At 42.2% G+C, this 17,419-nt stretch overlaps 1 pseudogene; it reads right to left on the bottom strand.

Moving 5' to 3' along the window:
• Positions 1–16,048: 16,048 nt before the first annotated feature.
• Positions 16,049–17,419, bottom strand: CDK8P2 (cyclin dependent kinase 8 pseudogene 2; annotated as a pseudogene).

Below are 17,419 nucleotides of genomic sequence, written 5' to 3'. Positions count from 1 at the left end.
CTCCCACCTCAGCCTCCAGTGTAGCTAGGACTACAGTTGTGTGCCACCATGCCCATCTATCTTCTTTTTTATTTTTTGTAGAGACAGGGGTTGTGCTTTGTTGCCCAGGCTAGTCTTCAACTCCTGGGCTCAAGCAATCCTCCTGCCTCAGCCTCCCAAAATGCTGGGATTTCGGACATGAGCCAGCAGCACCTTGCCCAGCATTTTATTTCATAATAATTATAAGTCATTCCTTCATTCATCTTACAACCCACTTGTTCCAGTTCAGGATCTCGGGTGACCAGAACCTATTAACGTTCACGCACAAGTCAGAAACCAGCCCTGGACAGGACACCATCCTACCGCAGGGAGAACTTACACACCCACACTCACTCAGACTGGGACCATGCAAAGAACCTAACGTGCACTTTGGAATGTGTGTTCCATACCCACTAGAACAGCTAAAATTTAAAAGACTGACCATACTTGAGTGTTGAACAGGATGTGACACAACTAAATCTTTTAAGCGCTTCTGCGTAAATGGCACAGCCGCTTTGGAAAACAGTTGGCAGTTTTTCAAGTTAAATATACCCAAACTCTATGATCCACTTCTCAACAATCAAACAAGAGAAATAAAAGCAATGTCTACACAAAGATGTATACACAAATGTTCATTGCAGCCTTAATTATACTAGCCCCAAGTTGAAACAAGCCAAATGTCCATTACCAGATGACTGGAACATACAAATTGTGGTATATTGATACAATGAAATACTACTTAGTAATAAAAAAGAAAGAGCTATTAACATAAGCAACAACATGGATGAATCTGAAAACAATTATGCTAAGTGAAAACAGCCACACAAAAGTTACATACTGTATGATCACATCTACATAAAATTACAGAAAAGGCAAACTAATCTATAGACAGAAAAGCAGATGAGTGGTTACCTAGGGATGGGGCAGAAGGGACGAAAGGATGGATTGCAAAATAGCACAAAAATATTGGAGGGATGACAAATATATTCATTATCTTGATTGTGGGGATAGTTTAATGGGTATATATAGAGATCAAAGCTCATCTAATTATACACTTTAAATATATGTATTTCATTGTGCATCAGTTATTCATCAACAAGACTATAAAATAATATATGCCTACATACATTTTTAAATATTCAAAATCTCACAGTTATATACATAAATGCAACTGAATATGTATTCAGATGTTTTAACAAGCAGAAAGGACTGATTAAACTCATGACAGCGGCTGTTTCTGGGAAGGGTGTAGGAGACAAGAGATGGAAAAGAGGATGAGAGCCAGAAGAGACCCTTGTAATGTTTCCTTTCTTTTAGTAAAAATATATTGACAGTTAAAGCTGAGAGGTGAGAATAATAGTCTCATGGCTTTTGTGTCCTTAAAATTTCACAAACTAAGTGAAATGGGAGAAAGCAAAAAAATAAACTTAAATAAATGTTATATTGCCCAAAAAGAGATTTAAAATGGAGGTTAGACACATGAGACTTACGTTCTCAAAAAAGTAGAATCTGCAGGGAAGTTTAACAACTATAAAGAATTAAAATCTAGCTTCTACCAGCCCAAAGCCTAAAATGTTCTGCTTTATTCTTCCTTATTATAATTCATAGGTAATATATTTTATGTTTGCAAATGAATGCAGTGATATTAGATCTCTAAGAGGTGCTAAAAATGAAAAGTACATATTCCAATTTTTCCCAATTTTCCTTCTCTTTCCATGAATGAAAAATATACATATTTGATGATTTCCAAGTTTATACAACTGATCTTTCTCTTAGTTTTCTCTTACCAAATTCCCTCCCTCACTCAGCCACCAGCCAGTCCAACTGTGCTACCTGCACAGCAGCCCTCATACCATCCACACTCTCATCAGGATCCTGCCTGACCTGCGAGGAGCAGCAGCAAGAAGGAGACAGAACCTCCACGCTGAGCATCTCAGGGCTTTCTCAGAGACTCCAGAGGACCCTGATAGGGACAGAGCCTGGCCAGCAATCCATGCTGCCAGCTGTATGATTGTGGGCATGTAAATTCTCAACTGAAAATGGGTGTAATAATAACATGTTCTTCCCAGAATGAGCTTTATGAAGATCATATAGCTGTTTGGAACTCAGACAAGCACTGGTAGGAATACAAACAGGGGAGCCAACAGCCTATAAATAATACTTTAAGAAAGGGCATGAATGTAATTACTTAGGAACAAAAGGCAAAGTGGAGAGATGCCTAGGACTGAGCTGGACAAGCTGCACCCTTTAGTGGCTCAGCCCATGGGCTGACAAGGAAAATGGAGGAGCTACCAAAGAAGGTGGAAGGATTCTGGGAGAGTGGCCCTCACCCTGCCCAGGGCAGGGCTCAGTGGGAGAGAGGGAGATCTGTTATAAATGCTGCCAGGAGGTCGAGTCATGTGAGAATGTCCATGTGAAAACATCCACTGTGTGTATCTAAAGAGAGTGGCTGTAAAACAGGTCAGGGTCAAAGGTCTTATTGTCTCAGATGTTATCTGCATGCATTGTCTCACGACCAAGAAAACTAAGGAGCATGGACACAAAGGGTTAGGTTGAAGCAAAAATTTAATAAGTGAAAGAAGAAGGCTCTCTGCAGTGGAGAGGGGAGTCTGAGTGGGTTGCCACTTTGACAGCTGAATCCAAAAGCTTTTATAAGAAACTCTTCTCATATCTGCAGCTGTTTGAGTAACTTCTCTTACCTATAAAACTGTCTGTATAACTCTCCCTTATCTATGCAGCTGTGGGATGTCTCCAGGTAAGCATAAAGTGTAGCTTCTCTTGTTTGTATAACTGTGGGTTTGTTTTAGGCAAGCCCCCATCCCCTCCCTGTGTAAGCTCCCATGGAGCCCACCATGTGCATATCTGAGAAGTGGAGGAAGCTTTCTCTGGGAGCTCACTGATCGTACAAAGAACAAGAGGCTTCTGTGCCGCTTATCTATTCAGGTGCAGCCTGAGTTTTCCCCAGGCTGCTCTATTTTTGCCTGTAGCTATGATTTTTCAGGCAGGCTGCTTCTCTGAAGACTAGCCTTAACTGTCTACCTATCAGATTTTTCCTTTTCTTCTCCCTCAGCTGGTTCCCCTCACCAAGGCTGAGCAAGTGAAAAGGAGGGCACAGGGCAGGCCAGTAGTGAGCAGCAACAAGGAACTAAGACAGCAGAAACCACTCTTCACACCTGGGTTGAAAGGGGTGGGGAGCCAGGACTACAGCTCAGGTAAGAACATAGGTAAAGAGATACTGTTGTTGTGTTGTTTTTAACTATGAGAAGCATTGAGCTTTAAATTTCTACAGGAAGGATCCAGTTCAGACAGGAGCACCCAATATTCAGAAGAGAAGAACATGGTGTAAAGGTCCTGGGAAGGCTGAGAGGATTGGGACTCAGAATCCAGAGCAGAAGCCGTCTGTGAACAGAAGAAGGACCTCCCCCAGTGTAGCAAGAGGGAGGGAGGAGGGACAGATGCCAAGATGGTTCAGGAAGAAGGTTTGGTGGTAAATGTGAGGCTGTGCTCACCTGCTGGCTTCAATTTTCTCTTTAAAATGTCAGATGGAATCATTTGATGAAGGCCATGCCATGCAATGAAATGGCAGTCTGAGGCATGGAGCAGCTCCAGCTTAGCCCGTGTTTAGGGTAATTATGGCTCCAACCCAGGAGATGAATATGACTAGGGAAAGTGAAGTCCAAAAACAAATGGTCTCAAGTTGACTGTGAGTCTTCTGGGAGGCTGAGACGACAGGTGGGGTTGACAAGGGAAGGGGAACCCACCTGCTGAAAAACATCAGGCTGTTGGCTGGGGGAGGGGTGAGGCCTGTGTTGTAGAGATGGATGGATGCCTAAAGTTGGGTAAAGGTTTCAACTCTAACCTCTGCTGGGTGTGGAAATAAACAAAGACCACCCAAATGAGAACAAACAAAGACTATTTATCCAGAGCTTGCTCTGACAAGGGAGTCGGCAACCATCACTTGCTTGGCAGAGACTCAGAAGTAAGCAGGGGAGAAAGCCTCATAGCAGAAAGAAGGGAAGTCTTCATGTATGCCCTGAGTGGCAGCTGTAGATGTGGGTGAGTTGCAGGTGGCTAACTAGAAATGGGGACTCCTGTGTGATTGATTAGGAGCATGTTTGGCTTTCTCTGGTTGGTCCTACATTGGAAGAGGGAACAAAAAATTTAGGGCAGTTGTCAGTTATTAATCAAGTGTTGGCCATTTTTGACTGACTGTTACAGGAGTGACTGGCTCCCTGGATTGTTTGCTAGAAATAGTGGTCTTCACTTCCTGCAAGTCTGACTTTCTGGTAATAGGCTTCCTGGGTTGGCTATTGTGGATAATAAGTGGGTTTCCTGAGCTGATTTCTGCAGATTGTGGATCAGAGTTATTTTATATAAACAGTCTGACCATTTTCCACTGGCATATTCCATCTTCCAAGAGCTGGCCAAGCTGCTGTCTTATCTGTCTCCCCCAGCCCCTCCACTCTGGCTGTGAAAATACAAGCCACTAGGTGAGGAATGGGGACAATTGAAGACTGAAAGCTTTTCTTTGCTGGGTTCGCAGAGCTGAGGAAAGAAATGACAACATCCAAGTGTCTGCCCTGGGCCAGTTTTAGGACTGTAGTGGTAATGCAAGGACTGTGTGAGTTTATATTTTCATTTGTCTCTCTAACTAAGGTGGAAAAAAAAAAACAGAAAATTGTCTGTCTGCAGTCTCTGCAAAAGTCTAACACTGTGCTTCCCAACATTGCAGCCATTAGCCACAGGTGAGTATCAAGCACTTTAAATGAGACTGGTCCAAACTGAGATGTGCTCTGAGAATAAAACACACAGCAGATTTCAAAGACCTAGTACATGCCCTGATTTCAAGCTATATTACAAAGCTGTGGTAATCAAAACAGTATGGCATTGGGAAAAAAATAGACACATTGGTCAATGTGACAGAATAGAGAGCCCAGAAATAAACCCGTGCATGTATAGTCAACTAATCTTTGACAAGAGTACCAAGAATACACAATGGGGAAAGTCTCTTCAATAAGTGGTGTTGGGAAAACTAGATATCCACATGCAAAAGAAAGAAATTAGACCCTTGTATTACACAAAATCTAAAATTAATTCAAAATAGAAAAAGACTTACATGTAAGATCTAAAACCATAAAACTCCTAGAAGAAAACATAGGGAAAGAGCTCCTTGACACTGGCATTAGCAGTAATTTTTCAGATATAACATCAAAAGTACAGGCAATGAAAGCAAAAACAAGTGAGAGTATATCAAACTAAAAAGTTTCTGCACAGCATAAACAATCAACAGAGTAAAGACATGACGTATGGAATGAGAGAAAATATTGACATCTGACAAAGGGTTAATATCCAAAATATATAAGTAATTCACACAACTCAGTAACAAAAGCCAAATAACCTGACTTTTTTTTAAAATGGGCAAAGTACCTGAATAGGTATTCCTCAAAAGAAGACATACAAATGGCCAAGAGATGTATGAAAAGCTGCTTAACATAACTAATCATCAGAGAAATACACAAATCAAAACAAGATATCATCTCACACCTGTTAGAATGGCTATTATTAAAAAATGAGATAAGTGTTGGCCAGGTGTGGAGGAAAGGAAACCCTTGTACATTATTCATAGGAATGTAAATTAGTACAGCCATTATGGAGAACAGTATGGAGATTCCCTAACAAAATTAAAAATAGAATTACCATATGACCCAGCAATTCCACTTCAAGGAATACATTCAAATACTATCAGTATCTCAATAAGATACTTGCACTCCTATGTTCGTTGCAGCGTTATTCACCATAGCCAAGATACAGAAACAAGTTAAATGTCCATCAACAGATAAATGGATAAAGAAAATCAGGTACATATATATATACAATGGAATATTATTCAGCAAAATCCTGACATCTGAGATAACCTGGATAAACCTGGAGGACATTATGCTAAGTAAAATCAAAGCCTGACACAGAAAGACAAATACCACATAATCTCACTTACATATGAAATATGAAAATGTTAATTTTATGGAAACAGAGTAGAATGGTAGTTGCCAGAGCCTGAGAGTAGAGAAAATGAGATGCTTGTCAAATCAAATCATCACATTGAATATATATAATCTATTTGTCAATTAAATATTTTAAGAATAAAAAATACCTGGCACCAAAAAAAGAATGCAAAATGTCTCAACAATGTTATATGTATTGCATTTTGAAGTGATAATAATTTGAATATTAGGTTAAATAAAATATATTTGAAAAATTAACTTCACCTATTTCTTTCCATTTTTGTTAACATAGGTACAAAAAAAAATTAAAATTACCTATGTGGCTCATGTAGGTGGCTCACATTATACTTTGATGACACTATACAGGCTGGTGACCATATATCTCTTAGACTAGTCTAAGTGATTTAACAGTGGTTCCAGAAAGATCCAGGTTTAACACCAATGAAAGGGCCAGCTGGCTTAGCCCAGCTTGTGTGGGAAATGTTGGGGAGTGGTTTAAGACAGGGAAAAGCAGAACATTTTGATGCTATTGACATTTTTGAAACAATCATTTTGTGGCCTGAAAAAAACCCAAAACATTAAATTTACAGCTTTTTTAAATTAGCTACCGGCTGGGCACAGTGGCTCACATCTGTAATCCCATCATTCTGGGAGGCCGAGGTGGGTGGATCACCTGATGTCAGGAGTTTGAGACTTGCCTGGCCAACACAGTGAAACCTCATCTCTACTAAAAATACAAAACTTAGTTGGGTGTAGTGGTGCGCACCTGTAGTCCCAGCTACCTGGAAGGTTGAGGCAGGAGAATTGTTTGAACCTAGGAGGCAGAGGTTGCAGAGAGCTGTGATCATGCCACTACACTCTGGCCTGTGTGACAGAGCGAGACTCTGTCTCAAAACATAAAAATAAAAATAAAAATAGTTACCAAGTCATATGTGCAACTGACATGCTCATGGAATTGTTTGGCTTCCCTCTCCCATTCCCTGATCCAACCCTGTGAGCCTCAGCTTCCCTGTTTATGACCTGGATTTCTGCTGCTGGCCTGCTGATGGTTTGCTTGCCTCAAATTCTCGCTCTTTTGGACCATCCTGGTCACTTCAGTCAGACAGATATTTCCACAATACACATCTGTTCTCAATGTCTAAAATCCTCCAATGACCTCCCGTTGCCTGGAGAAAAAAATTCAAACTCTTTGGCATGAGTCATGTGCTGACAGGGGGCAGAGTATACACACAAAAGGTGCATGCTAGAGGTAATGTAAGGAAAGGTTATTTATAAAACTGCAGGCAGGTCCAGAGGAAGCAGCAGGAGATGGTGGAGCTCCAGGCACTGCTGACAGTGGAAATCCACAACCCTCTCTGGAGGAGGAGGAGCAAGGGATGGGGAGGTGGCTGGCCCACTGAGAAAGCTGGGGCTGTGGGAGGGCCACTGACAGAAACTGTGGCCTTCTGTATAGGGGAATGTGGCCACTGCCAACCTGAAGGGGCGCGGGTGCACTCTAACCAAGCTCTCTTTCCTCCCTCTGATCTCCCATTGCCTGAGCCCAACCAGGAGATAGAGGACAACAGACCACTAAGGCAGCCCATAAGGCCAGTCTCAAGGGTACAGAGCAGATGGAGACATGTGGCACCCCCACCTGAAGCTCAGAGACACCATTTATCACCTGGATTACTGGCCCATAACTGCACACCCACCTCTGGCCACTCCCTGCTCTGGGTTGCCCGCCTCATTCTGGCCAAGAAATCTTCCTAAAACGCAAACCCAATCACACCATTACCCCAAGTAGAACTCTTCAGCGGCTCTGCACCATCTACACAGCAAGTCCATCTCTGTAGTGAGACCCTAAGACTTTTTATAACCCAACTCTACTCACCTGCTTGCTCACAGAAGTTTCATGAATGCACACGTTTGGTTCATCACAAATGTCTAAGAGAGCCATCCTCAGCCCCTGCCTTCTCCTGGGTCCTGCTACAGAGAGGACCTAGCGGCTAAGGAGTCCAGAGATTGCCCTTTGGTCACCTGTAGAACATCACGACTTAACAGCTGTGCCCTGCTGGAGCTACTGGCAGAGCTGCGCTTCCCAGGACCAGTAGAGGGCGCCATGACATTGAATGGCCACATGTTGGAGACCGCATCTTGGGCTTGTAGCTGCCAGAGCCCTGAGCTCAGAATAGCACCTGCAACTATGCGAGGCTAAGGCGGGTGGATCACCTGGTCGAGACCAGCCTGGCCAACATGGTTGAAACCCTGTCTCTACTAAAAATACAAAAATTAGCCAGGTGGGGTGGCTAATTTGAAAAATTTAGCTGGGTGTGGTAGTGCACGCCTGCAATCCTAGCTACTAGAAAGGCTGAAGCAGGAGAATCTCTTGAACCTGGGAGGCAGAGGTTGCAGTGAGCCAAGATCATGCCACTGCACTCCAGCCTGGATGACAGAGCAAGACTCGGTCTCAAAAAAAAAAAAAAAAAAAATGTCTGCATGAAAAAGTTATCACAGGGAACAAAAGCAAGAAGAAACAAAGAATGGGAACTTCCTCAAGTGTCTACAACTGCAAAATAAGAAATAATGTACATTATGAGCTTGGTTACAACAGGGTCAAGAAGCCAGTCACAAAATGGTGCAATTAACAATAAAGGCAAAAAGTTCACACAAGGCAGAATCATTCCTTTTATGAGCCCGTGTGGAAACTGTCTGCACTATGTGTGAGAACAAGAAAGCAAAAGGAAAAGATTTCACTTTCAAATAATAACACTAATAGATTATTCAATTAAAGTTTTCATTGCAAATTGATAAAAAAAAAACATGTAGCTGCACACATATTTTTAATAGCAATAATTAGGGTCCCTGAAGAAAACTACTACAAGACATGCTAGTAGGAGTGAAATATTCAATGAGTAAATCCAGGCTTTAAAACAAACAAATCAGAGATGACATTTGTTTTAACCTTGTTGACATTTGTTTAATCAGAGATATGCCAGAAGCCCTGCAGAAATTTGTGTCCTCAGGATAGGGCTGCCATAATAGAAAGAGGTGGTGGCTTTATACCAAGTCTGTCTGAAAGCATTGAGGTTCAGGTACTTTGAGTGATTATTAAAGTTGCAGATTTGTAGTGTAAAATGTTGCTTGGACATCTGAATTCCACACCAAATGACATTAAAACATTAACGTGTCCCATAAAACCCAGTTGCTTCCATCCAATTTGTTTTCAGCTCCTTGTGAAGACGTGGATGCAGAATAAATACCCCACTGAAAACGGACAGGAGAATTTCACCATCAAGAGTTTGCAAGCTAAAGGCAGAAATGACATTTCATAACATAGCATTTACCCTTACTGTTAGGAAAGCAGGAGCCTAGGAGAGCCAGATGGACACCATTTTCAAATCAAGCCCATCTTAAAACTAGCAAGACACATTCCTTGCCAGTCAGGACCCATGGCCCTAAGATGTTTACAGCTAAGGAAGTGGCTTGGTAATCCCTGCAAGGACAAACTTCTACAACAACAGAAAGCCCAGATGTCCCAATCCCTATAAAAATATATGCTTTCAAGATAATTATAGTTATGCTTTGATGTACTTAAACACACTAAAATGTCAAGGATAGTTCTCTTTAAATCAATAGGAGAATAAATGTTTTCATGCTGTCGGCCCACCCACACATAGCCACAGCTTAGTTTAGTCTTTATATAGACAAGATTCCTATATAAGAAAAATTTAATGATGGCATGTTCCTCCACTTGCTGTCTGAGGATGCTCTACTTTGTAATGGAATAGCTTTCAATAAACTCTCTCAATTCACCGCACCCTGCAACTCACCTTGAGTTCTTTCCTGTGTGAAATCCAAGGACTCTCTCTTGGGGTCTGGTTTGAGACCCCCTTTTCCAGTAACATCACTATGTTTAATAGATTCTCATCTTTTATTTTCTGTTCTGTACCTTTTTGTTTTTCAATTGATTTTTATAACTTATGATAGTTCTCACCCTTCAGTTGGTAAAGCAATGTCCTAGAATTGGGCTAACAGAAAATGTAGATGATTGGCAGTGGGCTCTGGAAGACAGAGGCCTTCTCACCTACTCCAGGGCCCATGGAGAGAGCTGAGCTTGAGGTCTACAAGAGAAGAATCCTTTTGGCTCATCCTTCACAAACTAAGCTTGGACTCCACCTGTGCTTCATGGGTTAAATAGAGGACTGACTCTTGTTATAAGGATCTAATGAGTTAAATCACAAAGACTGGAAGGAAAAGTGCTGCTCTATGTAAGTGTATCTTCATGATCACTCAGCAAGGACAGCCTGCTCCATGCGTACCTCTGTGCCTTATCGCCCTGTGGGTCTGGGCCCAGAGCCACAGCTGCTCACTGGGCACAGTCAAAAGGCACAGGTAGTCCCAGAGTTAGGAACAGACTATGTCCTGCAGGTCTAAGTCCATTGTTCAGAGCTGTGAACCCTGAAAAAGGTTAATCCTGAGTGACTAACTGGGCCTAAATTCAAATTAGAGCCAAGCGGCCATTTGCCATGTATGACTAGAGGTCATACATGTATTTGGAGTTCCCAGAAAAGCCTGCACGGACCAATCCGAATTCAGCAAATGTAAACAAATCAGAACTAAGCAAGTTTGCATCTTTCATTTGCCTAAGTGGAACCTGGGTGGAAACTTACTCTCTAAAAGACAAACTCTCCCTTTGTTATTTGGGGCACACACGTCTTCATTTTACGCTGAAGGCTGCCTCCCCCTGGTTTGCAAACTGTTCGCTGGACTAAAGTCCCCTTTCCCTAAATTCCTTTTCAGATAACTATCGTTCAATAACTTTAGTTCCCAAAGCCCACAAATGCTCATGTGACTCATGCTGTGGCTTAGCAGGCAGTATCTGGCATTGTTCCCAGCATGGTACCTGTGGTGGCCATACCACAAAATTCCCACAGACTGCATCAGATAAATGGAATAGTGCCATTCTAACAAGACGCCTCAGCACCTCAACCAAAGGGGAGGTCACCTCCTCCCAGACTTACCTATGAACATAGGTGTGCAGATGCACCCTCATCACCTTTTCCCCCACAGGAAGCATCACCCAGACCACTCTCGTCCTGTGCCTTTCTGTTTGTGGACTGTTACCTCTTCTACGTATAAGTTGCGACAGCTCTGCTGAGTAGCTGCAGGGACATTTTGATCTGGGAAAAAGTGGAACAGAACCCTTTCAGATATAAAGAGACTGAGAATCAGAGTGGCTGGAATTCTCTTAGGTCAGCATTGTGTTGGGATTTACGCTGTGTGTTCAATAAAACAACCACTGACTGGTCCTCAACTTCCATTGCCAACATCTATGTTCATAAGAGGCACTTATGAAGTCAATTGGCCAAATCTACAGCAATGGGGGACAAGACCAAAGGTTAGAGACACAGCCCTTGGAAATTATTCTGTAACAGCACTCTGCTGGGCCCAGCTGGGGCCGTGCATGTAGGAAGGAAGGGACGCACTGGTCCACATACCTGCAGGCATTCACCATCTCTCACAAAGGCCAGAATTGCTGCTTTCAAAAGGATGTCACACAAGCTAGAAAAATGAAATATTAAGACAACTCGCCCCCCAAAAACATTTCCATTTCTAAAGTTTTCAAATATACTAAAAGCCTTGTCCTGTGCCTACTCTTTAACCTAGAATCCTCTTTAGAGGCTATATTCTAAAGAAATATTCACCTCACTGCTGAGCTTACAGGGTGTACCTAATGTCCAACAATATGAAATCTCTTCAATGAATTGCAGCACGTCCATATATAACCCACATGGAAGCTGTCCTCTTTCCTCACCTTCGAACTTCCCATGCCAAAGAGGGACCTCTTGGACTCAAATACATCTTAGCAATATAGAAGATGCTGGAGACTTGTAGGAGAAGTGGAGAGGGTTTACAGTGTAGCCCCACAGAAAACAACTTATGACCCCATCAGTCACTTGTCCCTTTTTTCCATGCCTCAGTCTAGTCAGGAAACCACTAGATCCTGGATGGCTTCTTCTCCCTTCCCCTCCTTTCTCTTCTCCTCTCCCTCCCTTGCTCCTCCTTCCTCCATCACCCACTCCTTACTTCCAACCAAAACTTGACTAGCTCCAGTCTCATCCCTCCTTATTGAAAACTATTTTACTCAGCCCTCCTCCCCCACTCCTGCCCAATCTTTATTCCTTACCTACATCAGACTTCACCAAAACAAAGGCCAGGATAATAAACAGGACAAACTCTTTCAAACACATTTTAATGACCATATTTTGTTATTTTGGTACAATTTGAGGAGTCCCAATCCCCAGGGAAGACTAACAAGAAGTTCTCCTAACAAAGGTGGGTCTCCCCTTACTAAAAACTCCTGTAATGGCTGAAAAGAGCATGAGGTTTTCTGCATATCATTACACATTCAATAGAACGTCATGCAGCTGTTAAAAATGATCTGTAGAAGGCTATCTTGTGACAGAAAGGCATTGGAGATATACTGTTAGTGACAAAAATAGGTTATAAATGAATTTTTCCATGCATGCCTCTATATTTATAAATACACACACATAAAAGACAGGAAGGACAGACATTAAACATTCATAGTGCTTAAGATGATGCATAGTATAATAGTTAGGACCATGGCCTTTGGGACAGAAAACTACAGCCTCTCTCCCACTTATCAGCCATGGGACCTTGGGCAATTTGCTCAGCCTCAAAGCCCCTGTTCCTTTATCTGTGTGCTGGGGTTGTTGTAAGAGTTAAGTGCAATACACAGAGAGAGAGAGAGTACCTAACATGTATTATGTGCTCAGTCAATATGCATCATAGTACTCATTGTTACATATGTTCCTAAGTGCTTTATACGTTTTTTCCCTAAGTTGACCATCTGTTTTTGGCATTATGAAACATAATGATCCTAACAAATTAAAAATTAAAAACATTAAGGAATATTTGCCCAAAAAAAATAAAGAACATGAAATCATCAAGTAGCCAAGGGGCCATAGACAGAAGTAAGCCCTTGGTGGGGCTTAGTTGAGAGAAGTCTCCAGAAGGTCCTTCGTGTGTTAAAGAAGAGGGGTACAGGGAGGAGGTGGGGAGAGATGTTAACTGAGTCTAAATGAGCACCTGGAAGAAGAGATGGGACAGGCCACTTCTGCCTGGACTCCCTGATTGTTAAGAAGAATGAAAAAGAGCAGAAGTCTTCCCTGAGCCCAACTTCACTCCCTGACTTAACCTAGTCTTTGCCCCTTCCCTCTCACTCATGGCTACTTTCTGTGGTCACCTTGTTGTAGAAGTGGATGTGCAGCCACCTCATCTTTTTCTACCTCCTTCACATGTTTTAGATAATTTAATGTAGTAGAAGACGGTTACAGCAAAAAATTACAAAAATCAAAATATCTCTGCTATCTACTGTTGCATTTCTAACCATCCCAAAACAGTAGCTGAAAACAGCACTCGTGGTCGAGCGCGGTGACTCATGCCTTTAATTCCAGATACTCCGGAGGCTGAGGCAAGAGAATCACTTGAACCCGGAAGGTGGAGGTTGCAGTGACTCAAGATCATGCCACTGCACTCCAGCCTGGGTGACACAGTGAGACTCCGTCTCAAAAAAAAAAAAAAAAAAAAGCACTCGTGTATTTTGTTCAAGATCTGTGGTTTGGGCAGGGCAGGGCTCAATGAGGACATCTCGTCTCCGTTCCCGCAGTGTCAGGAAGTATAACTGAGACTGGAGGGTCACACAGAAGATGGCTCCCTGAAGTGGCCAGCAAATTGGTGCTTACAATTGACAGGGAGCTGTTGACCAAGGGCCCCAATTCCTCTTCCTATGGCCCCTTCTCGGGCTGCATGGGCTTCTTTACAGAATGGCAGCTGGATTCCAAGAGCAAGTATCACAACCTACAGAAGAGTGGAGGAATATTGAAAGTTCACAGTCTCTTAAGACGTTGGCCCAGAAACTGGCAAAAGCTTCATTTCTGCCATGTTCTATTGATCAGTCACAGAACCTGCACCAATTCAAGAGGAGAACATATAGAGGACATCTCTCAATGGGATAAGTGTCAACAAATTTGCATCTATCACAATCTGTCTTTTGGGTACAAACTATTTCTATTCCTCCATTATGCAAAATATACTCACAACCTCCCAAGGGTCCCAAAAGCCTCATCCAATTATGGCAAATATGGCACATATAAAATATATAGAATAATATACTAAGGCTTCTTTTTAATTTTTTAAATTCTCTGTTCCTTTCAGTCTAAGCCACTATAATTTTTTTATTTATGAAAAATAAATTACATGACACCTTGTTCTTAACAATGTTCAATTATTTTTTTATTCAGAATACTTGTGTCATTCATGTAAAATAGTTTGATACAGTACAATGTATGTTATAGGGTTTTTTTCCCTCAAAAATTCTAAGGCCCTCCTATTCCTTCTCCTTTGCTGAAGTAAGGGCATCCTAAACCACATGCAAACAAGTTTTAAAATGGAAGAATCAGTGAACAAAATTTTATTTTTTTTTCTATTTCTTAAAAAAAAAAAGAAATGGGATACGTGTGCAGAACGTGCAGGTTTGTTAAATAGGTATATGTGGGCCATGGTGATCTGCTGCACCTGTTCACCTGTCCTCTAAGTTCCCTCCCCTCATCCCCACCCCGCAACAGGCCCTGGTATGTGTTGTTCCCCTCTCTGTGTCCATGTTGAACAAAATTTTAATAGCACTACATCAACTAGCATTAAAATCAGGACAAAAATATTTGAATTGGATGCTGTACCTTTTTAAGGAAGTTAACATTCATGCTTTTTTCACCTTAAAGCACGCTCACAAATCAGCAATGAAGGGGTGGGTTGCCCCTTTACACCTGTGGGTGTTTCTCATTAGGTGGAACGAGAGACTTGGAAAAGAAAAAGACACAGAGACCAAGTATAGAGAAAGAAATAAGGGGGCCCAGGGGACAAGCGTTCAGTATATGGAGGATCCCGCCGGCCTCTGAGTTCCCTTAGTATTTATTGATCATTCTTGGGTGTTTCTCGGAGAGGGGGATGTGGCAGGGTCATAGGATAATAGTGGAGAGAAGGTCAGCAGATAAACACGTGAACAAAGGTCTCTGCAACATAGACAAGGTAAAGAATTAAGTGCTGTGCTTTAGATATGCATACACATAAACATCTCAATGTCTTAAAGAGCAGTATTGCTGCCGCATGTCCCACCTCCAGCCCTAAGGTGGTTTTCCCCTATCTCAGTAGATGGAACATAAAATCGGGTTTTATACCGAGACATTCCATTGCCCAGGGACGGGCAGAAGACAGATGCCTTCCTCTTGTCTCAACTGCAAAGAGGCGTTCCTTCCTCGTATACTAATCCTCCTCAGCACAGACCCTTTACGGGTGTCGGGCTGGGGGACGGTCAGGTCTTTCCCCTCCCACGAGGCCATATTTCAGACTATCACATGGGGAGAAACCTTGGACAATACCTGGCTTTCCTAGGCAGAGGTCCCTGCGGCCTTCAGCAGTGTTTGTGTCCCTGGGTACTTGAGATTAGGGAGTGGTGATGACTCTTACGAGCATGCTGCCTTCAAGCATCTGTTTAACAAAGCACATCTTGCACCGCCCTTAATCCATTTAACCCTGAGTGGACACAGCACATGTTTCAGAGAGCACAGGGTTGGGGGTAAGGTTATATAGATTAACAGCATCTCAAGGCAGAAAAATTTTTCTTAGTACAGAACAAAATGGAGTCTCCTATGTCTACTTCTTTCTACACAGACACAGTAACAATCTGATCTCTCTTTCTTTTTCCCACAAGCAACACCAACAGGAAAAATAAAGCATTGTCTGTGACAATCATTTTAGTTTGTTTGCTGAACCAAACAGGTTTATATCAATGAGAATATATCTAATTACTATCAAATAGCAGCTTTAATACCAGTCAAGTCATAGATTGAAAATAAAAACAAACTTATACTTGGAAATTAATCTTTAGGAGTTTTGAAACCTTTCTGAAAAAAACTATGTGGCTTTTTGTACTTTCAGAAAAATCCAAGCAATATTCTTGGTCAGAAAACACTGATTAATGTAGAAAATGAATCAACTCACTGATAAGACACTAACAAGAAAGGTGTACCAAAATAATCTCACTTTGAGTCCTGGTTATTTCACTGAGTTAACACCTACTGTATGTTTTCAAGTACCAGTTAAACCTTGTGTCTGTGTGTGTACTATTGGTCAGATAATGTTGTTACACTGGAGGAATTCATGACATATGAAGACAAACGCTTGCCCCTAGCACATTCTCAGCTTCAACTGCTATAGACTGTCACGGAAAAAAAAGTACTGGTCAGTCTGAACCAGGTCAAGTTAACTATGAAAGTAGCAAATCCACAACACAAACTGTGCTAGCGCTTTCTTTTCAGGTCTAACTCCAAAATAGGTACAAACTGGAAGCCACTACCCCGATCTGTGAAAAGCGGTGGAAGGAACTTGGCTACTGGGCAGGTGTGGTTGTACAGTACATTCTCATGGCCCATACCAGGTTCCCACGGAGAGCTGCACAGTCAGCCCTGCAGCATTCACAACAGTGCACGGACAAGATTCCGATGCAGCTCAGTACCCGTGTGTCTGACGTGGGTCCTGTGGAGCCTGCTGGGAGGTAGCTGAGTATCCTACACTGCTCTTCGGCTGGGATGTGCTTGGTCCAGGGTTGGGATATAGGCAGCATGTGGATTGGAACGCGGATAGTCTGAGGCCGTGAAAAGTCCACCTGAGGTAGTGGTAGGAGGAACAAGCCTCACTTTCTTCAACGGGGGTCCCTGTGTGTGACCGTTGTCTTGATTCCTGGGTGGCCAGTTCCATTCGTGTGGTTATGGCCCTGCTGCCGGTGGTGGTTCTTTTTGGCTCCTTTGTCATCAGGTTCTTCTTCTGTTAAAAATTCTCATTTTGGGTAGGGGATTTGACAACTGGTGAAAACGTCTGACGTAGGAAGTGGGTCTTCGAAGAAACAGGGACCCCGTTCTCAGGTAATTCACTTTATTGGGTCCATAGTAAGAAACTTCTGAAGCAAGTGGAATGCTTTACTATCTGGTTTAACTTTGTGTTTTTCCATATACTTGATAAGGCTGCAGTTAGTATACATATTTCTTCTGAAATCTTTCATTAATGTTGAATGTTCAGGCATCTTTTTTATATCTTCCCCGTCTTTATTTGCAGGAAATCCCATTACATTGAGTATTCTGTCCAGCCAGTCATGGTAATAAGGATTACCAGTTCTGATGTCCTCTTGTCGACCGTGAAATATTGGTTTTGACATTAGTAGTTCTTCAAACATACACCCTATAAGCCCAACTATCAATAGCTTTGGTATAATGCCTTACTCAAAGAAGTAATTCAGGGGCTCAGTACCAGAATGTAACAATCACTGGATCCAAATCTGCTAA

The sequence above is a fragment of the Homo sapiens genome, chromosome 2 (genome assembly GCF_000001405.40).
Source record: "Homo sapiens chromosome 2, GRCh38.p14 Primary Assembly".
Lineage (NCBI taxonomy): Eukaryota > Metazoa > Chordata > Mammalia > Primates > Hominidae > Homo > Homo sapiens.
Note: the sequence above shows the minus strand (reverse complement) of the source record. Positions and strands in the feature narration are given on the sequence as shown.